Source organism: Homo sapiens, chromosome 19 (genome assembly GCF_000001405.40).
Source record: "Homo sapiens chromosome 19, GRCh38.p14 Primary Assembly".
NCBI lineage: Eukaryota > Metazoa > Chordata > Mammalia > Primates > Hominidae > Homo > Homo sapiens.
This window is the reverse complement of record NC_000019.10, coordinates 11,461,670-11,482,913: the sequence shown is the minus strand read 5'-3', so window position 1 is coordinate 11,482,913 and position 21,244 is coordinate 11,461,670. Positions and strand designations below refer to the sequence as shown.

Below are 21,244 nucleotides of genomic sequence, written 5' to 3'. Positions count from 1 at the left end.
GTGTTCCTAAAACAGGAAGCCGCGGGGGGAAGGGGAGTTGGCGGCGGCTGCCCTGGCCCCATTTCCCGGAGGAGGATGCTGAGGCCGCCGCCTCCTGCGGGCCGCTAGAGAGAGGGGCGGGGAGCGAGGCGCGGCCGCTAGGTGGCGTGCGAGGCGCGTAGGCCCTGGTGGCCGCAGCCACGTGACCCTGGGGACCGCAGCCGCGAGCTCAGGCACGTGCCCGGGGGAGCCCTGTGGCGCCACGCGCAGATTGGCCCCGCCGGTTCCTCACCAGTTCGGGGGATGAGGCGGGGCCCCAGCTATGCCTCAGTTCCTGCTGCGGACCGGGGGGCTACCCCAGCCGGGGACAGAAGAATCGGCAAGGATGAGCGAGTCCGGCCGCTGGGGCCGCCCCCGCGAGCTCCCTCCCCCCGCGAGGCAGGTCCCCTCCACTCTCCCCGCACTGCCGGAGCCGGCAGGTTTCCATGGGAACCGCAGCGGGGTCCGCGCGCCCAGGAGCAGCCCCCCTCCTAGCTCAGTTTCCGATGACGGAAACCGGGAGGAACACGGGGTGGGGAACAGACCATCGCTTGGGGCCCCTAGCGCCCGCAGCCAGGTCGCCCCGGCGAGCCCAAGAGGGGCCACCCGGGGATCTGCACCGCCACCGCCCCTATTGCGCGGGCCACTGCGATTGGCCTGCCCTTTCCAGGCGTGGCAGCATCCCCTGGTGCGCGCACTCCCATTGGCTCGATCTCTAGGGCATCTTCCAGTAACTGGTTATCTCAAGGGCCGCCCCTGATTGGGCAAATTAGGCTCTCCTCGCTGGTGGCGCTCTCTGACAGTCTGGAGCCTAAAGGGCGTGCAGGAACGAGGATTGGGTGGGGACTGCCGCTCTCCAGTTAGGGGGTCTGGGCTACCTCGCCGGCAGCGCCCTCGACCGGACTGTCGGATTGCTGTCTGTGGTGCTGAAGCCTCACGCCCTGGCGACCCCGCCCCAGTGTGTGCTAGTTCCCGCGCCCCGACGTAAACATGCACCGGCGCCCGCGCACCAAAGGAGGCTGCGCCACCCCCAACGCCTTAGAGAGAGGCCAGGTTCCCCCTAGCAGAGAGCGAGCATGACTCCACAGTCAGGAGGACCAATCACGAGCCTAGAAAGCCAGGACATTTATGTGGCAGATCCACCCACCCCAGTTCTGTGGGGTCCAAGAAGGATCCGTGGTTTCCCAGAGCTGCATGGCTCCAGCGATGATTGTCCAGAACACTGAGCCCCAAACCTTTTCACCCCCTTCGGAGCAGTGCGGAGTTTCCTTGCACTGGGGAGTGCCAGTCCTTACCTTTTGAACCCTAGAAGGATCCAGCTCACTCAAAACCAACAGCGTCCCAGTCTCCTTCTGCAGAAGACTAGGGCCACAGTAGCCACCCTCCCCCGTGGTCTTGAGGTGGTCTACACTGGTGCCTCCAAATCTGGGGACCCAGGCCTCTGCCTACTAAAATATTGGTTCCTGATCCCCTGTCCAGTTCCCTCAGTGGACAACACCTCTGGAAGGTCGCATATTCAGGCCACTAATACCTCCTCGCTCTGTTGGCTCCTCCAGCTCTAGGAGCTGGACGGAGGAGGGGAGCCCGTCTCCTGGCCCGAAAGCCAGCCCAAGAAGGGGTGCCAGGGTAGGAAGCAAGGGCCTCGAGGGAAGGAGGGCCCAAATCTGGCAACCCGAGCACCTAGGATGCGCTTTTGGGGGATTCAGAGTCCCGACCAGTGCGCGCTCACTTCCACCTGCCGCGCCGTCGGGAGCCGCGAGGAGGCGGAGCTCGGTCGCCGCAGCCAATGAGCGACGCCGGCGCTGGCAGCTGCTGCTATAAAGGGCTGGGGGCGGCGGCGGCGCGGTCCAGAGCGCGGAGCGCGCAGCGCGGGCCGGAGGGAGGGAGGGAGGGTGGGCGAGGGGAGAGGACTTGAACACACGGGACCGGACAGGACCGACCGAGGGGCGGCGGCGAAAGGCAGAGCGCCGCGATCTCTGTCGGGAAGCGCAACCTCCCCGGGCCCCGCGGGGCCGCGCAGGGGGCGTCCTCAACCCCGCGCCCGCTCCCTCTTTCCATCCCCTGCCGCCCGCAGGCCACCCCGGGGCCCGGCCATCCGCGCGCGCATCCCCGGGTTCGGGCCCGTCCCTGGCCCTCGAGGGAGCCGCCGCCTTCATCGCCACATCTGCAGCGGCCGCACCAGAGGCCGCCCGGGCGGGACCCCAGCGTGAGCATCGGGCGCCCCCCTAGGAGTGCACCACCCCCGGAGCCCCCCTCAACACGGACCGCGCCCGCCGGGCACACAAGAATGGTCACTGTAGGTATTCCCCTGTCGCCGAAAGGGAATCGGGACGGGGAGGAGTTGGGCCCAGGCTCCGCGGAGATTGGGCGGGTGCGGCGGGGGGGGTAGGACCAGGCCTAGCTAGGCCCGGGTTGGGGGGGTAGGACCAAGCCTCGGGGCCTGAGAGTGGGCAGGGCCGCGCCCAGAGTGCTGAGGGCGCTTAGAGCTTGGTCTGAGAGGGCCTTAGGGAGACTGACTGCGATTCGGGAGGCGTCCGACGCCGCCCTGGAGGCGGGATTGCCCCCTCTCCAGCAGGCCTGATGGGGGAGGGGCCGCGGCGGCTAAGGATGCTTCCTCCATCCAGGCCCAGACCCCGCAGGCCGCCCAGGCAAACGCAGGGCCCGATCACTGGTGCTGGGCCAAGCCAAAGCGACAAAGCGTCCCCGAGAGCCCTGGGAAAGCGGGTGGCGTCGGATCGCGCGCCCCGGGCCTCGGCCGCACCCGGGAGGCGGGCGTCTCGTCCTCGAGCCCGTCGACCTTGCGGCAAGCGGGGAGGGGAGAGGAGGGGGCGCGCCCGGAGGCCCCGCGGGCCCGCCGCCGCTGCTGCCGCGTCCCTTTGTTTCTCGGCGCTTCTTCGCGGGCCGCAGCCTCGCGCGGGCGCCTCGGGCTGCGGGGAGGGGGAGGGGAGAGGAGGGCCCGCGGGTTGGGGGGGCACCTCTGGGCTCCCGGGTCTCCGCCCCCCGGGAGATGGGGTGGGAGGCCGAGACAGCCCCCTTAGGCCAGGTCCAGGCTCCCCACCTCGCCAAGGCTCTGGGCCGCGAGGTGACCTTGAGCGCGGCCCGCCCGCCTGCTCGCCCGCACCGCTAGCCCCGCGCTCGGTGCTTTCAGCAGCCACGGAGCTGGTCAGCTCCCGAGCGCGCAGCCCCTCCCGCCCTGCCACGCCCTGCCTGGCCACGCCCGGGCACGCCCATCTAGGCCCCGCCCCCAGGGCCCCGGGGGCCCGGCCTCGCCCGAGCCCTCGGATTCCCACTCGGCAGCCCGGGCGTATCCCGGGGGCGGGGCTGGCCAGTTATAGCCCCACCCCGGCTCCACCCCCGCCCCTGCCGCGCGACTCCGCTCCCCGCGCCGCCGCGCGTCCTTTGTCTGGTCCCGGCGCCTGGGCCTCCCTCTTCCACTCTTCCTATCTCTCCGTCTCTGCGTGTGTGTCTCTGTGCATTGTGTCTCTTTCCGGGCCCCTTTTTCGAGTCGTGGCTAGCACTGGGGGTGGGGGCATGATTGGCGCTCCCTCCATGCCTAAGCCTCTCCCCTCCTGGACCCTGGGACCCGCCCACCTGGCTCTGAGAAATGAGGTCCCGGAGGCCTGGCTCACCTGCTGTGTGACCTCAGGCCGTTCCTTTCCCTCTCTGGGCCTCGTGCTGTTCACCCAGGTCTGGGAACTGGAGTGTGGCCTCCTGAGGACCTCAGAACTCCCGCAACAGTCCAGCATCTCCTAAGCGTCCTCTGATCGGTTCTCTCATTTGAAAAAGGAAACTAATGCACAAAGGGAAAGAGGGTGTGGTCAGAGGTCACACAAGGGCCTTGAGGACCTAGGTTCTCCAGTGAGCGAGCCCTGGGGCAGAGATGTATCATGGGGACAGGCTGGGAGGAAGAGAGGTGACAAATTAAGACCAGGAGGACCCTGCATTGAAGAAGGGCCCAGAAGTAGGAGGCTCAGTCAGCACCACGTGGTAGCCCAGCCTCACCATGCATAGCCACTCAATGCCCTATTGTCGCCGGTATCCAGGCATCTGTCACTGTGACTGGGGCCAGGGGCCGCAGCTGGGGGCCGTGGGGGTCAGACACAGGAGGTTTTAAGAAAAAAGTGGCCTCAGGTGTGTTCACTGCAAAACCCATACGTCAGATGTATGTGCGATGGTGGAAAAGAGGAAGAGAGAGTGATGAGGCCAGGGACACAGAACGGTTCAGAGAGAGGGCAGGACAGTGGAGAAGAGAGGGAAACAGAGGAAGAAAGAGGGAGAGAGAAACCAAAAGTCGGGGGAGACTTAGAAGAAGCACTGGAGAGAATGGGAAGCTTCCCTAACCCTCCATCTTTTATCTGCCCTCCTCCTCCCTGACTTTGCCACCCCCCCATCTCTGTCTGGGGCCAGTCGCCGAAGTCCCTTTGATGCCCATGTAGCCACCATCCCAGGCTGTGCACTTACTGCAGGCTGGGGCAGGGCGGGTGTGGCTTCCATCAATCTGATCCCCATTATCAGCTCAGCCGGCTCAGCCACAGAGGAAACGAGATACTGGTCCCGCTAAGCTCTGGCACAAATGGGAGGGAGAACGGGTGGTGGCCAGATTAGCAGGCTAGGCCTCAAGAACCTGGGTCTGAACCACCCAGTCACCTCTTCACTCTGCTCAGGTTGGGGACACCATGGGAGGGGGGCAGCCAGTAACTCTTTCGGCTCTAGGGTCATCGGATCAGGAGTCAGATGTTGACACCATCCCCTCCACCTCCTCCTGTCACCCTGGACAAGTCATAGGTCCCTGTGACTAACCCTCAGTGTCCCCATCTGAGAAATGGAGGAGACCCTTCATACCATTCACTGTGGTTGTGGGAGGTCAATGAAAACTTTGCACATGCTCAGTGGAGTTCAAAAATAGGATCTAGCACGGTGGCTCATGCCTGTAATCTCAGCACTTTGGGAGCCCAAGGTGGGTGGATCACATGAGGTCAGGAGTTCGAGACCAGCCTGGCCAATATGGTGAAACACCGTCTCTACTACAAATATAAAAAGTTAGCGGGGCGCGATGGTGCACACCTGTGGTCCCAGCTACCTGGCTGAGGTGGAAGAATTGCCTGAACCCGGGAGGCAGAGGTTTCACTGAGCCAAGATCATGCCATTGCACTCCAGGCTGGGCAAGAGAGCAAGACTCCATCTCAAAAAAAAAAAAAAAAAAATAGGGATCTAGCATGTCCAGAAGCAGTGGCTTGTGTACTGCCAACTGCTCACTGGGCTCTTATAGCAAATATCAGCAACTCAACATAGAACTCTTACCTCAATGAGCTTAAATGCAAATTCAGAATCCATCTCCAGGGCCAGTCATGGTGGAGCTCACACCTGTAATCTCAGCACTTTGGGAGGCTAAGGCAGGAGGATCGCAGCCTGGGCAACATGGCAAAACCTCATCTCTACAGAAAAAGAGAAAAATTAGCCGGCTGGGTGGTGCAAGCCTATAGTCCCAGCTACTTGGGAGGTTGAGGCAGAAGGAGGTTAAGGCTTCAGTGAGCCATGATCGTACCACTACACTCTAGACTGGGCAACAGAGCAAGACCCTGTCTCAAAAATAAACAAGGAAAAGAAAAACCCCACAAAACTCTTAATGAACCAGGATGCAAATTCAGAATCCAGCTCCATACATGTGAGACCTCTGTGCCATACCTTCCTTAAGGAAGAACAGAAAGGCATAGAGAGGTGACCTAACTATCAGAGGACAGCATGAGGAGGGTGGAGTCTGACATGTGTAGCCCTCAGTAAATATTTGTTGAATTGAATTAATAGACTCAACCGATGGAGTGGGTTTAAATGTCATGATGCCCAGGGCACGGCAGAGAGCAGGTACTCAGCTTCGCTTTGCTGTTATTATTTTGTTATTATATTACTGGTCTTTTCGTTAGGGGAGTGGGCTCTAAAGTCCAAACCCTGGAACTGAATTCTTTTTTTTTTATTTTTTATTTTATTTTTCTAATTTTTGAGACAGAGTCTTTCTCTGTCGCCCAGGCTAGAGTGCAGTGGTGAAATCTCGGCTCACTGCAAGCTCCGCCTCCCAGGTTCAAGTGATTCTCCTGCCTCAGCCTCTCGAGTAGTTGAGATTACAGGTGCCCACCACCATGCCTGGCTAATTTTTGTATTTTTAGTAGAGATGAGAGTTCGCTGTGTTGGCCAGGCTGGTCTCGAACTCCTGACCTCAGGTGATCCTCCCGCCTAGGCCTCCCAAAGTATTGGGATTGCAGGCCTGAGCCACCAAGCCCAGCCTGAATTCTTGTTTCACCATTTGCCGCCTATGCAACTCTGTTCCTATTCCTTCATTTTTTTTTTTTTCCCTTAAGAGTCAGGGTCTCACCCTCTCGCCTAGGCTGGAGTGTAGTGGCATGATCACGCTCCCTGCATCCTCAAACTTCTGGGCTCAAGTTGATCCTCTCACCTCAGCCTCCCAAGTAGCTGGGACTACAGGCATGCACCACCACACTCAGCTAATTTTTTTGGAAATTTTTTGGTGGAAACAAGATCTCACTGTGTTGCCCAGGCTGCTCTCAAACTCCTAGGCTTAAATGATCTTCCTGTCTCAGCCTCCCCAGTCACCCTGTCCCTTCATTGAGACTCTCTTTCCTCGTGTATTAAATGGAGAAAGGAATCTCATCATGTTCAACGGCAGGAGAACCACCTGGAAGTTTCACATGAGGAATTTTTCCTGGCACACAACAGGCACCTCAATACATGGTTACGCGATCAGTTAAGTATTAATGTTAGGAGACGGGAATGCAGAGCTGTGCAGTGCATGTTACTGCATCACTGCGGGTGCCTTGCAGACATTGCTAATCAACCCAATGCATATTCCTTTTGAGGCCGGATGTGTCTTCAGAGTAGTCCTCCAGGCAGCCCTCCCAGGAGCAACTCAGCCAATTGGAGATGCAGGGGAGCTGACCTTCTGTGCCATCTGTTTTACAAGAGTAAATGGGCCAGGCGTGGTGGCTTATGCCTGTAATACCAGCACTTTGGGAGGCCAAGGCAGGCAGGTCATCTGAGGTCAGGAGTTGGAGATCAGCCTGGCTAACATGGCAAAACGGTGTCTCTACTAAAAATACAAAAAATTCACTGTGCATGGTGGTGCGCGCCTGTGGTCCCAGCTACTTCGGAGGCTGAGGCAGGAGAATTGCTTGAACTTGGGAGGTGGAGGTTGCAGTGAGCCAAGATCGTGCCACTACACTGCAGCCTGGGTGACACAGCAAGACTCTGTCTCAAAAAAAAAAAAAAAAAAAGTAGATGGTGACCAGGTGCAGTGACTCATGCCTGTACTCCCAACACTTTGGAAGGCAGAGGCAGGAGGATCCCTTGAGACCAGGAGTTTGAGAACAGCCTGGGCAACATAGCAAGATCCCATCTCTACAAAAAATAAAAAATTAGCTGGGCATGATGAATTGCACTTGTAGTCCTAGCTACTGGGGAGGCTGAGGTGAGAGAATCACTTGAGCCTGAGAGTTCAGGGTCAGCCTGGGCAACATAGCGAGACAAGGCATTGGCCATAATGATGAAAAACAGCTCTGCAAACAGATCCAGGACTGAAATGAATTTCCCTATTCATACGTCTCTGAATTCACTTTTGTCACCTGTAAAATGGAGAATGTGTTCTCAGTCTTTTAAGATTGTTGGGAGAGTAACTGAAAATATGCCTCAAAGTATTTCCCACAGTGCCTGGCACACAGTAGATGCTCAGTGTAGTGGAATGCTCATTAAAATAGCAGTATTAGGCCGGGTGCGGTGGCTCATGCCTGTAATCCCAGCACTTTGGGAGGCCGAGGCAGTGGATCACGAGATCAGGAGATCGAGACCATCCTGGCTAACGGTGAAACCCCATCTCTACTAAAAATACAAAAAATTAGCCAGGCGTGGTGGTGGGTGCCTGTAGTCCCAGCTACTCCAGAGGCTGAGGCAGGAGAATGGTGTGAACCCAGGAGGCGGAGTTGCAGTGAGCTGAGATCGCGCCACTGCACTCCAGCCTGGGCGACAAAGCAAGACTCCGTCTCAAAAAAATAAAATAAAATAAAATAGCAGTATTGCCCCATGCAATGGCACATGCCTGTAGTCATAGCTACTTGAGAGGCTGAGATGAGAGGATTGCTTGAGTCCAGGAGTTGGAGGCTGCAGTGCACTACGATTGCACCTGTGAATAATAACTGCACTCCAGGCTGGACAACATAGAGAGACCCCATCTTTAAATAAAAGAATAATAGGCCAGGCATGGTGGCTCACAACTGAATTCTTTTTTTTTTTGAGACGGAGTCTCACTCTGTCACCCAGGCTGGTGTGCAATGCTGGAGTGCAATGGCACAGTCTCAACTCACTGCAACCTCTGCTTCCCAAGCAATTCTGCCTCAGCCTCCCTAGTAGCTGGAATTAGAGGCACCCACCACTACGCCTGGCTAATTTTTTTGTATTTTTAGTAGAGACAGGGTTTCACCATGTTGGCAAGGCTGGTCTGGAACTCCTGACCTCGTGATCTGCCTGCCTCGGCCTCCCAAAGTGCTGGGATTACAGACGTGAGCAACCGTGCCTGGCTACAACTGAATCCTTAGCACTTTGGGAAACTAAGGTGGGAGGATCACTTGAGGCCAGGAGTTTGAGATCAGCCTGGTAACATAGCAAGAACCCATCTCTACAAAAAATTAAAAAAATTAGCCAGGCATGGTGGCACATGCCTGTAGTCCCAGCTTCTCAGGAGGCTGAGGTGTAAGAATCACTTCAGCCCCGGAGGTTTAGACTGAAATGAGTCATGATCATACCACTGCACCCCAGTCTGGGTGACAGAGCGAGACCCCGTCTCTAATAATAATAATAAATAATGTAGGTGTATTATGAGGTACGGATGATGGATGTGACAAGCCTGCTTTTAATTCCCATGATCATGCCCATGACAGACGTAACTAACCAATTCCAGATGCTTTACAGCATATGGCTTTAGCTACTACCCCAGGCCAGTGTGACTATAATTTGGAGTTTGCAGCAAAATGGAGCAGAGGCTCAGAAGCACTAAGTAGTCTATCTGAGGACACACAGCTGGGAAATGTTAGAGCTGGCACTGTTCTTGGTTGGCAGTGGAAGTTGGAAATGCACACTCTGGATCAGAAAAACTCATATGCAAATCCCTGTTCCACCATTTATATGCTGCATGATCTTTGGCAATTTTTAAAATATCTCAGTTTCCTCATGTATTAAGTGGGGGTGAAGTGGGGGAGGAAAAATTCTCTTTTTAGGATTGTTGTGAATAAGAACAGAAAACTTGCATGTAGAGTGCTTTGCACAGTGCCTGGCACACAGTAGTAGCCAATATTTGGGAACAATTAAGATATTGGAGCTTGAGTCAGGGATGGTTGAGATAATATGTACCTGCTGGCTGTTTCTAGTTGTGTGGCCACAGCAGACATTGCTAATCAATCACAGTGATCTTTCCTACTGAAAACTGTATGTGATTTCTTTTTCTTTTTCTTTTCTTTTCTCTTTTCTTTTTTTGAGAGGGAGTCTCGCTCTGTCGCCCAGGCTGGAGTGCAGTGGTGCGATCTCGGCTCATTGCAAGCTCCGTCTCCTGGGTTCACACCATTCCCCTGCCTCAGCCTCCGGAGTAGCTGGGACTACAGGCGCCCGCCACCATGCCCGGCTAATTTTTTGTATTTTTAGTAAAGACGGAGTTTCGCCGTGTTAGCCAGGATGGTCTCGATCTCCTGATCTCGTGATCCACACGCCTCGGCCTCCCAAAGTGCTGGGATTACAGGTGTGAGCCACCGCGCCCTGCCTCTTTTCTTTTCTTTTTGAGACAGAGTCTCACTCTGTCACCCAGGCTGGAGTGCAATGGTGTGATCTCGGCTCACTGCAATCTCCACCTCCCGGATTCAAGTGATTCTCCTGCCTCAGCCTCCCAAATAGCTGGGATTACAGGTGCCCACCACCCCACCTGGCTAATTTTTGTATTTTTAGTAGAGACGGGGTTTCACCATGTTTGGTCAGGATGGTCTCAAACTCCTGACCTCTGGCGATCCACCCCCCCTTGGTCTCCCAAAGTGCTGAGATTACAGGCGTGAGCCACCACGCCTGGCTTCTTCTTCTCCTTCTCCTTTTCCTTCTCCTTCTCGTTCTCCCTCTCCCTCTCCTTCTTCTTCTTCTTCTTTTTCTTTTTTGTTATACAGTGTCTCACTATGTTGCCCAGGCTGGAGTACAGTGGTGCCATCATGGCTCACTGCAACCTCCACCTCCTGGGCTCAAGTGATCCTCCTGTCTCACCATCCTGAGTACCTGGGACCACAGGTGCAAGCCACCATGACTAGCTAATTTTTAAATTTCTTGTAGAGACAAGATCTCACTGTGTTGCCCAGGCTGGGCTTGAACTCCTGAGCTCAACCAGTCCTCCCACCTCGGCCTCCCAAAGTACTGGGATTATAGGCATGAGCCAGCACGCCTTGCCTAAATGTGGTTTCTGAATTCTTCTTAATTCATTCCTCTAGGAAGACACTACCAATCAGTATGTGTGTTTGTTTTTGAGACGGAGTCTTGCTCTCGCCCAGGCTGGAGTGCAGTGGTGCGATCTTGGCTCACTGCAACCTCCGCCTCCTGGGTTCAAGCACTTCTCCTGCCTCAGCTTCCTGAGTAGCTGGGATTACAGGCGTCCACTACCACACCTGGCTAATTTTGTAATTTTAGTACAGACAGTTTCGCTATGTTAGCCAGGCTGGTCTCAAACTCCTGACCTCAGATGATCCACCTGCCTCAGCCTCCCAAAGTGCTGGCTGGGATTACAGCCGTGACCCACCATGCCTGGCCCAGTTCAGGTTTTCAAGTGAGGGTAAACCTATGTGCCAACTGTGCCACTGAAGAAGATGTAAGGAAATGCTGGCTACTTGACCTTCTTATGTCCCTGACAGATAAGGTCAGTCAAATCCCAGCACTGTTTGCTGCTGATTTCTGAAGTGGCTTTAAAATTCTCCTCTACATAGCCCTTCATATAGCCCTTGCCAATTGTTCTGAATTTTCAGCAAAGTGAAACAGAGGCCCTAGCAGGCATATCCAAAGACGCATAGTGAGTTGTCAGAGCCAGTACCAGCCTGGTTGACTGTTACAGTAAGAAAATTGGGCCAGGTTCAGTGGCTCATGCCTGTAATCCCAACACTTTGGGAGGCTGAGGCATGAGGATTGCTTGAGGCTGTGAGTTTGAGACCAGCCTGGGCGACATAGTGACACCCCATCTCTACAAAAAAAAAATTTTTTTTTTTTGAGACAGAGTCTCTCTCTGTCGCCCAGGCTGGAGTGCAATGGCGCGATCTCAGCTCACTGCAAACTCCGTCTCCCAGGTTCAAGGAATTCTCCTGCCTCAGCCTCCTGAGTAGCTGGGATTACAGGCGTGTGCCACCACGCCCCACTAATTTTTGTATTTTTAGTAGAGATGGGGTTTCACCACGTGGGTCAGGCTGGTCTCGAACTCCTGAACTCATGATCCACCCGCCTCGGCCTCCCAAAGTGCTGGGATTACAGGCATGAGCCACTGCGCCTGGCTCAAAAAAAAAAATTTTTTTTTTTGAGATGGAGTCTCACTCTGTTGCTCAGGCTGGAATGCAATGATGTAATCTCAGCTCACTGCAACCTCCACCTCCCTGGTTCAAGCGTTTCTCCTGCCTCAGCCTCCTGAGTAGCTGAGATTACAGGCGCACACCACCATGCCCGGCTAATTTTTGTATTTTTAGTAGAGACGGGATTTCACCATATTGGCCAGGCTGGTCTCAAACTCTGACCTCGTGATCCGCCCACCTCGGCCTCCCAAAGTGCTGGGATTACAGGCATGAGCCACTGCGTCTAGCCCAAAAAAATTTTTAAAAATTAGCCAGGCATGGTGGCGCCCACCTGTAGTCCTAGCTACTTGGGAGACTGAGGCAGGAAGAATGCTTGAACCCAGGAGTTTGAGGCTGCAGTGAACTACAATCACAACACTGCACTCCAGCCTGGGTAACAAAGCAAGATCCTGTCTCTAAAAAAAGAAAAGAAAATTGTAGAGTGGTCTTCACATTCCGAGGGTCTTCATTTCATTTCCAATGCCAGAGCAGATAGGCTATGTGACTTCAGCACGTTCCTTAACATCTTTAAGCCTCAGATTCTCCATCTATCATAGCAAAGTTAACTTATACCATTTAATAATTAATTATTTTGTTTTATTTTGAGATGGAGTTTCGCTCTTGTTGCCCAGGCTGGAGTGCAATGGTGGGATCTCAGCTACCGCAACCCCCGCCTCCCAGGTTCAAGCGATTCTCCTGCCTCAGCCTCCTGAGTAGCTGGGATTACAGACATGCGCCACCACGCCCGGCTAATTTTTTTTTTTTTTTGTATTTCTAGTAGCAAACGGGGTTTCTCCATGTTGGTCGGGCTGGTCTCGAACTCCCGACCTCAGGTGATCTGCCTGCCTCGGCCTCCCAAAGTGCTAGGATTATGGGCGTGAGCCACCATGCCCGGCCTTATTTATTTATTTTATTACTATTATTTTTAGATGGGGTCTCGCTCTGTCACCCAGCCTGGAGTGCAATGGCACGAGCTCAGCTCACTGCAGCCTCCACTTCCCGGGTTCAAGCAATTCTTGTGCCTCAGCCTCCCGAGTAGCTGGGATTACAGGCGTGTGCCACCACACCTGGCTAATTGTGGTATTTTTAGTAGAGGCGGGGTTTCACCATATTGGCCAGGCTAGTCTTGAACTCCTGACCTCCAGTGATCCTCCTGCCTCAGCCTCCCAAACTGCTGGGATTACAGGCTTGAGCCACTGCCCCCAGCTTTATTTATTTATTTTTGAGACAGGGTCTCACTCGGTCGCCCAGGCAGGAGTGCAGTGGTGTGATTATGGTTTACTGCATCCTTGACCTCCCGACCTCAGGTGATCTTCCCACCTCAGCCTCCCAAGTATCTTTGCTACAGGCACACAACATCACATTCAGCTAGTTTTTAAATTTTTAGTAGAGACAGGGTTTCGCCATGTTGCCCAGGCTGGTCTCGAGCTCTTGAGCTCAAGCAATCCGTCCACCTTGGCCTCCCAAAGTGCTGGAATTACAGGCGTAAGTCACTGTACCCAGCCAACTTCTACCATTTTAGAGTCTTTGTGTGAATTAAATAAACAGCATGTCCTCCTCAACATATATGTAAAAAAATGCTAAACCACCAAAAAATTCAGCAAATTAAATCAAGCAATGTATATAAACAAAACTGCAATATGCATGACCAAGTTTGGTTTATCCCATCAAGATTGATTTAATATTAGAAAATCAATTAACGGCTGGGCACGGTGGCTCACGCCTGTAATCCCAGCACTTTGGGAGGCTGAGGCGGGTGGATCACCTGAGGTCAAGAGTTCGAGACCAGTGTGACCAACATGGAGAAACCCCGCCTCTACTAAAAATACAAAATTAGCCGGGCATGGTGGCGCATGCCTATACTTCCAGCTACTCAGGAGGCTAAGGCAGGAGAATCGCTTGAACCTGAGAGGCGGAGTTTGGGGGGAGCCAAGATCGCGCCATTGCACTCCAGCCTGGGCAACAAGAGCGAAACTCCGTCCCCCCTCCCGCGCAAAAAAAAGAAAATCAATTAACGTAATTCATGACATTAATGTATTAAAGCTAAAAAATGGGCTGTGTGCGGTGGCTCACGCCTGTAATTCCAACACTATGGGAGGCCAAAGCAGGAGGATTGCTTGAGCCCAGGAGTTCGAGACCAGCCTGGGCAATATGCCAAAACCCCGTCTCTACTAAAAATACAAAGAAAAAAAAAGTAGCCAGGCTTGGAGGCGCATACCTGTAGCCCCAAGTACTGGGGAGGCTGACGTGGGAGGATTGCTGGAGCCTGGAAGGCAGAGGTTGCAGTGAACCAAGATTGCCCTACTGCACTTCAGCCTGGGTGGCAGAGCGAGACCTTGTCTCAAAAATTAATTAATTAAAGCTAAAAAATGGTTTCAATTGATGTAAAAAAAAAGTCAATAAAATTCAACATCCTTTTTTAAAAAAGTCTTAGGATCTAGGAATAAAAGAAAATGTTCTTAACCCGATAAAGGCCATCTAGAAAAAAACCCATAGCAAAGATCATGTTTGGCTGCAAAATGTTTAAAGCATCTCCCTTAACAGCAGGAATAAAGGGCCGGGCGTGGTGGCTCATGCCTGTAATCCCAGCACTTTGGCAGGCTGAAGCAGGCAGATCACGAGGTCAGCATTTCAAGACCAGCCTGGCCAGCCTGGCCAACATAGTGAAACCCCGTCTCTACTAAAAACACACAAAAAAATTTGGCGGGCGTGGTGGTGGAAACCTGTAGTCTCAGCTACTTGGAAGGCTGAGGCAGGAGAATTGCTTGAACCTGGGAGGCAGAGGTGGCAGTGAGCCAAGATCGTGCCATTGCACCCCAGCCTGGGTGACAGAGGGAGACTCTGTCTTTAAAAAAAAAAAAAAAAAATCAGGAATAAAGAAGCCACTATCACACTGTAGCCCCTGAAATGACAAGAAAAATAGATAACAGGTATAGACTGAAGATGAAAAAATAAAATTGTCATTATTTGAAGGTGTTTTATGTTATACAATAAAAGCAAAAGAACAAAATAGCTCAGTGGGAAAACTGGGGGTGGCAAGGGGAGATGAAGGCAGGTAAATGACTAGTAAGAAACTTATGCATGAAGCAAAAGACATAATTAGCACATTTGGGATAGGAATTACCTTTGGTGGGAGGAGGCAAATAAATATGTTTAGGGAAGGGCTTATGAGGCTTCAAAGCTACTAAAAGGGCCAGGCATAGTAGCTCACACCTGTAATCCCAGCACTTTGGGAGGCCAAAGTGGGAGGATCACCAGAGCCCAAGAGTTTGAGACCGGCCTGGGCCACATAGTGAGACCCCATCTCTACAAATAATTTTAAAATTAACCAGACATGGTGGCATGCGCCTATTGTTCCAGCTACTTGGGAGGCTGAGGTGGGAGGATTGCTTGAGCCTGGAAGGTCGAGGATGCAGTCAGACTTCATGGCACCACTGCACTCCAGCCTGGGTGACAGAGCGAGACCCTTTTTCTAAAATAAAAGCTACTAAAAATGGGGCCAGACGCGGTGGTTCACGCCTGTAATCCCAGCACATTGGGAGGCGGAGGTGGGTGGATTACCTGAGGTCAGGAGTTCGAGACCAGCCTGGCCAACGTGCCGAAACCCCATCTCTACTAAAAATATAAAAATTAGCTGTGCATAGTGGCATGCACCTGTAATCCCAGCTACTCTGGAGGCTGAGGCAGGAGAATCGCTTGAACCCAAGAGGCGGAGGTTGCAGCAAGCCGAGATCGCACCACTGCACTCCAGTCTGGGTGACAGAGCAACCAACTAACAAACAACAACAACAAAAACAAAGAAAGCTACTGTTAGATTTACTTTTCTGAGAGCGAAAGCATTTATTTTATTTTATTTTTAAGATGGAATTTCACTCCTGTTGCCCAGGCTGGAGTGCAATGGCGCAATCTCGGCTCACCACAACCTCCGCCTCCCGGGTTCAAGCAATTCTCCTGCCTCAGCCTCCCGAGTAGCTGGGATTACAGGCATGCGCCACCACGCCCGGCTAATTTTGTATTTTTAGTAGAGATGGAGTTTCTCCATGTTGGTCTGGCTGGTCTCGAACTCCCGACCTCAGGTGATCCGCCCGCCTCAGCTTCCCAAAGTGCTGAGATTAGGGGCGTGAGCCACTGCGCCCGACGTGAAAGCGTTTCCGGTGTGAAAGCGTTTTTTATTTTGTAAATGCACAGGTTGATTTTAGGCCTCTGTTTGCGTATATAGTAGTCATATAAGGGATTTCTTGCAGTAAAAACATCAGGTGCTTTGTTTCCCCCCAATGCTTATTCCAATATATGGAATCCCATCATTATTCCCATCATTAGAATAATAAAGTGACCCCTCCCCATGACGAAGCCCCTATAAGACATGGCTAATTCATCACCACCAAGCCACTCATTGCCGCAGGCCCCTGGTGTGGGGACTGGGCGGTGAGCGGATGCGACCTGTTATCTCCAGCAGATACTGGGGGCCATGGAGTCTCAGGTGGGGGGGGGCCCGGCCGGCCCGGCCCTGCCCAACGGGCCACTCCTTGGTACAAATGGAGCCACTGACGACAGCAAGACCAACCTCATCGTCAACTACCTGCCCCAGAACATGACCCAGGATGAGTTCAAGAGTCTCTTCGGCAGCATTGGCGACATCGAGTCCTGCAAGTTGGTTCGGGACAAGATCACAGGTGTGGCTGCTGGAGTTGCGGGGAGGAACAGAGGTGGTAGCCTCAGAAATACAGAGGTGATGGGGGCAGGTGGGACCCTTGCTGAGGTGTCTCGGGGGTAATCGAGGCAGGAGGTGGTCTAGGGATGTGAGGTCTGATGGGGAGATGGGTATACCCCCTAGGTGAAGGTCTCAGGAGCGATGGAGGCAGGTGGGACTCTAGCATCGAAGGTGTCATCTGGAAACAGGAAGGTGGAAACTTGGTGGGGAGGGGACAGTCTCTCAGGCCTGAGGTGGGACACTGGCAGGTGTCAAGGCTGGGTGGGAAGGTCATCATTCTGGTTCTGCCCACAGGGCAGAGCCTTGGCTACGGGTTTGTGAACTATTCTGACCCCAATGATGCAGACAAAGCCATCAACACCCTCAACGGCCTCAAATTACAGACGAAGACCATCAAGGTTGGTGCCTCCTTCTCCAATCCCCCATGACCGCCCACCCCAACTGACTGTCCCCAACCCCCTACTGCCACCTACCCGCCCCCATGCATCCATGTCCACTGCCTTTCAGGACTCATCCCCAGAGGGGCTCAAATCTCCCCTCCAAGACTTCCTAGCTGGGGTGGGGGCAATGGCTTTCCCTCTCTAAACCTCAGTTTCCTCACCTGTCAATGGGGACAGTACTGGCTCCACGATCTCTGGAGGCTCAGGGAGTCAGCCAGGCCCTGTAAGGCAGAGTGACCAGGGTCCTGTGAGCAGTCCCCTCCCTGCTTTTGTCATGGAAATGGGGGTGGGGGCCCATCTGCCATCTGGAGCCTAATTAGGGTCTGGGAGGGCGGGATTGGGGCGGCCCATCCCCCATCTTTGTGCAACGCCCCTCCCCCAGGACCTCCCTTCTCAGCAGCTGCAGCTGGGACCCTACAAGCCCAGGTTCCCTGGGGGGGAATCGTCATGGAAACCCCCCTCTCTGGGTTCGCCTGGGGGTGTTTGGGCTCCGCCCTGCAAATCTGCTCCCGGACCCTGGAGGAAGCCAGGGTCGGGGGGGTGGCCCATCTGGCCCCCAGTTCAACATGGGAACAGAGGTGCAGGAATCTCTTCCCTTTCCTGATGTGGGGGGTTGGGGATTGGGGTGGGGGAGTGAAGTTGTGACCCAATGGGTCCCTTCATGGCCAACGAGACCCAGAAGCCTCAGGGCATGAGGACCCCAGACCCCAGTGACATTGAGATGCAGCGTGTATGTGTGTGTGTATGTGTGTATGTATATGTGTACGCATGTGTGTGTGTACGCATGTGTGTGTGGTGTGTGTGCATGTGTGTATGTGTGTGGTGTGTGTGTGTGTGGTGTGTGTGTGTGTATGTGTGTGGTGTATGTGTGCGGTGTGTATGTGTGTGGTGTGCGGTGTGTATGTGTGTGGTGTGTGTGTATGTGTGTGGCGTGTAGGTGTATTACGTGTATGTGTGTGTGGTATGTGTATGTGTGTGGTGTGTATGTGTATGTGTGTGGTGTGTATGTGTGTGGTGTATGTGTATGTGTGTGTGGTGTGTGTGTGTCTGTGTGGGGTGTGTGGGATGTGTGTATGTGTGTATGTGTGTGGTGTGTGTGTGGTGTGTGTATGTGTATGTATGTGTGTGTGGTGTGTGGTGTGTGTGTGGTGTATGTGTGTGTCTGGTGCGTGTGTGTGGTGTGTGTGGTGTGTGTATATGTGTGGTGTGTGTGTGGTGTGTGTTTGTGGTGTGTGTGGTGTGTGTATGTGTGTATGTGTGTGTGGTGTGTGTGTTGTGTATGTGTGTGTCTGGTTTGTGTGTGGTGTGTGTGGTGCATGTGTGTGTGGTGTGTGTGTGGTGTGTGTGGTGTATGTGTGTGGTGTGTGTGATGTGTGTGTGGTGTATGTGTGTGGTGTGTGTGTGATGTGTGTGTGTGTGGTGTGTGTGGTGTATGTGTGTGGGGGGTGTGTGTGTGATGTGTGTATGTGTGTGTCATGTATGTGTATGTGTGGTGTGTGTGGTGTGTGTGTGGTGTGTGTGGTGTATGTGTGTGTGTATGTGTGTGTGGGGTGTGTGTGTGTCATCTTGAGTTGTGAGATACAGTGTTTATGATCCAGGTGTCCCGTGACTCACTGTGGCTCTGGCTGTGACACAATGGTTGTGGGACACAGTGTGCGAGTGGCTGTGGCCAGGCACAGTGGCCCACGCCTATAATCCCAGCACTTTGGGAGGCCGAGGCAGGAGGATCACTTGAGCCCGAGAGTTTGAGACCAACCTGGGCAACGTGACAAAACCCTGTTCCTAAAAAAAAAAAATTTAAATTAGCTGGGCGTGGCATCTTGCACCTGTAGTCCCAACTACTTGGGAGGCTGAGTGGGGAGGATCACTTAAGCTGAGGCGGCGAGGCTACAGTGAGTCATGTTTCACCACTGCACTCCAGCCTCGGCAACAGAGCAAGACCCTGTCTAAAAAAAAAAAAAATATATATATATATATAGAGAGAGAGAGAGAGAGAGAGAGAGAGACAGAGAGAGACAGAGAGAGAGAGAGGGAGAGAGAGGGAGGGAGAGAGAGGCTGCTGTCAAGTGCATCTGTGTATTTAAGACTTCGGGTATATCCCTATGTGTCTGTAGGATAAGGTTTTTTTTTTTTGGTTTTTTGATTTTTTGGGGTTTTTTTTGAGACAGAGTCTCCCTCTCTTGCCCAGGCTGGATTGCAATGGCGCGATCTCGGCCCACTGCAACCTCCGCCTCCCAGGCTCAAGCGATTCTCCTGCCTCAGCCTCCCGAGTAGCTGGGATTACAGGCACCCGCCACCACACCTGGCTAATTTTGTATTTTTAGTAAAGACAGGGTTTCTCCATGTTGGTCAGGATGGTCTTGAACTCCTGACCTCGTGATCCACCCACCTCAGCCTCCCAAAGTGCTGGGATTACAAGTGTGAGCCACCGCACCCGGCCCAGGATGACGTGCTTATTATTTGACAGGTGCATGTGACACTGTGACTCCGGCTGTGACCTGATGGGGCCTCAGGGATGCGTCTGGCTCTGGCAGGATGTTTGTGTGTCACCGCGATGTTGTGTGGGTGTGTCTACCTGTGCCCTGCTCTGAGGGATTGAGTGTGATATCGTGTGTTTGTGCTGCGCTGTGATGGGTATGTGGTTCTACGACCTTCACTGTAATTCTCTGAGACTCCCTCCTGAACGTTGCTGAGAATGTGACAGTGGCCTGTGTCACCCTCTGGCTGGTTTCATCTCTGAGGCTGTGCAGCGGGGCGGCACTGCATGGCCTTCTGTCTGTCCCTGGGTGTTTTTGCCTGTGTGACGGTGTTGCGCGGTCAGTCAGGACTGGGCGCTATGGCAGCTGCCCAAAATATCTCCAGCTGCCTGCCGCGGGCCAGGCCCCATCCCAGGGTGGGGTGTGGGTGGAGTTTGGTCCATCCTTGCCCTTGGGAAACCCATGTCATGGAGGGATGGAAAAGGCCTGTGAAAACCTCCTCTGTGTCTCAGACGGTGTTGGACCTCCAATATCCACCCAGGATCTTACCCCCAAATCTAATCCCTCAACCCAAATCTGATTCATCAGCAAGTACCCTCACAGCTCCTAGCCCCATGGGAGAGAAAAAAAGAAGAGAAAACTGTCAAATACATTGACATGATTTCTTTCTTTCTTTTTTTTTTTTTTTTTTGAGACGGAGTCTCACTCTGTCACCCAGGCTGGAATGCAGTAGCGCGATCTCGGCTCACTGCAACCTCTGCCTCCCAGGTTCAAGCAATTCTCCTGCCTCAGCCTCCCGTGTAGCTGGGACTACAGGCGCCAGCCACCATGCACGGCTAATCTTTGTATTTTTTTTAGTAGAGACGGGGTTTCAGCATGTTGGTCAGGCTGGTCTCGAACTCCCAACCTCAGATCATCCACCCCCCTCAAGCCTCCCAAAGTGCTGGGATTACAGGCGTGAGCCACCGTGCCCAGCATGGACATGATTTATTTCTTAATTAATTTATTTATTTTTCTGAGATGGAATCTTGCTCTGTTACCCAGGCCGGATTACAGTGGTGCGCTCTCGGCTCACTGCAATTCCGCCTCTCAGGTTCAAGTGATTCTCCTGCCTCAGCCTCCTGAGTAGCTGGGATTACAGGCGCCCGCCACCACGCCCGGCTAATTTTTGCATTTTTAGTAGAGACGGGGTTTCACCATGTTGGCCAGGGTGGTCTCCTACTCCTGACCTCAAGTGATCTGCCCACCTCGGCCTCCCAAAGTGCTGGGATTACAGGCGTGAGCCACCGTGCCTGGCCTGGCTGTGATTTTAAAAATCATTATTATGGACATGACAATGGCTGATGTGATTTTTTTTTCTGGAGAACCCCAGGTGCACAAAATTATATTAATCAGACCCTGCCCCCCATTCACTCTCAAACTGCTTTATCTATTTTGTTCATTTTTAAACTAGTTATTTCTTTTTTTTTTTTTTTTTTGAGACGGAGTCTCGCTCTGTTGCCCAGGCTGGAGTGCAGTGGCGCGATCTCGGCTCACTGCAAGCTCCGCCTCCTGGGTTTACGCCATTCTCCTGCCTCAGCCTCCCGAGTAGCTGGGATTACAGGCACCCGCCACCACGCCTGGCTAATTTTTTGTATTTTTAGTAGAGATGGGGTTTCACCATGTTAGCTAGGATGGTCTTGATCTCCTGACCTTGTGATCCGCCTGCCTCAGCCTCGCAAAATGCTGGGATTACAGGCGTGCGCCACCGCGCCCAGCTTTAATTAGTTATTTCTAATGGAGGCATACACTCTCACAACTCACTGTCTCAACTCACTGTCCCAAACAAAAGCCAGAAGACAATGACCCCTATCTATCAAGAGGTTAATTAGAAGAAACAGAAAATAGAGGCTGGGCACAAAGGCTCACACCTGTAGTCCCAGCACTTTGGGAGGCCGAGGGTGGGAGGATTGCTGGAGCCCGGGGGGGTCAAGGCTGTGGTGA

At 53.5% G+C, this 21,244-nt stretch overlaps 1 protein-coding gene across 4 annotated transcripts in view, besides 3 other annotated features; it reads left to right on the top strand.

The window, feature by feature from the left end:
• Positions 62 to 501: a silencer, noted in NCBI's record as "silent region_10113". NCBI's record gives its function as "represses an Ori minimal core promoter by ATAC-STARR-seq in GM12878 lymphoblastoid cells {active_cell/tissue: GM12878}" and the evidence as "EXISTENCE:reporter gene assay evidence [ECO:0000049][PMID:35858748]".
• Positions 532 to 781: a silencer, noted in NCBI's record as "silent region_10112". NCBI's record gives its function as "represses an Ori minimal core promoter by ATAC-STARR-seq in GM12878 lymphoblastoid cells {active_cell/tissue: GM12878}" and the evidence as "EXISTENCE:reporter gene assay evidence [ECO:0000049][PMID:35858748]".
• ELAVL3 (ELAV like RNA binding protein 3) overlaps positions 1,868 to 21,244 on the top strand; it is a 29,721-nt gene continuing 10,344 nt past the window's right edge. For 2 of the 4 annotated variants that reach the window (XM_024451413.1, XM_011527778.3), the window contains exons 1-3: positions 1,868 to 2,314; positions 16,090 to 16,306; positions 16,639 to 16,742. In XM_024451413.1, coding sequence (XP_024307181.1) covers positions 2,306 to 2,314; positions 16,090 to 16,306; positions 16,639 to 16,742 — 330 coding nt within the window. In that variant the 5' untranslated portion in view covers positions 1,868 to 2,305. Of the gene's footprint in view, positions 2,315 to 16,086; positions 16,307 to 16,638; positions 16,743 to 21,244 lie in introns of all 4 variants that reach the window. The other 2 variants (NM_032281.3, NM_001420.4) reach the window with 1 other exon arrangement.
• Positions 3,156 to 3,350: a silencer, noted in NCBI's record as "fragment chr19:11590379-11590573 (GRCh37/hg19 assembly coordinates)". NCBI's record gives its function as "represses an EF-1alpha promoter that drives an FKBP-Casp9 reporter gene in an ReSE screen in K562 erythroleukemia cells {active_cell/tissue: K562}" and the evidence as "EXISTENCE:reporter gene assay evidence [ECO:0000049][PMID:32094911]".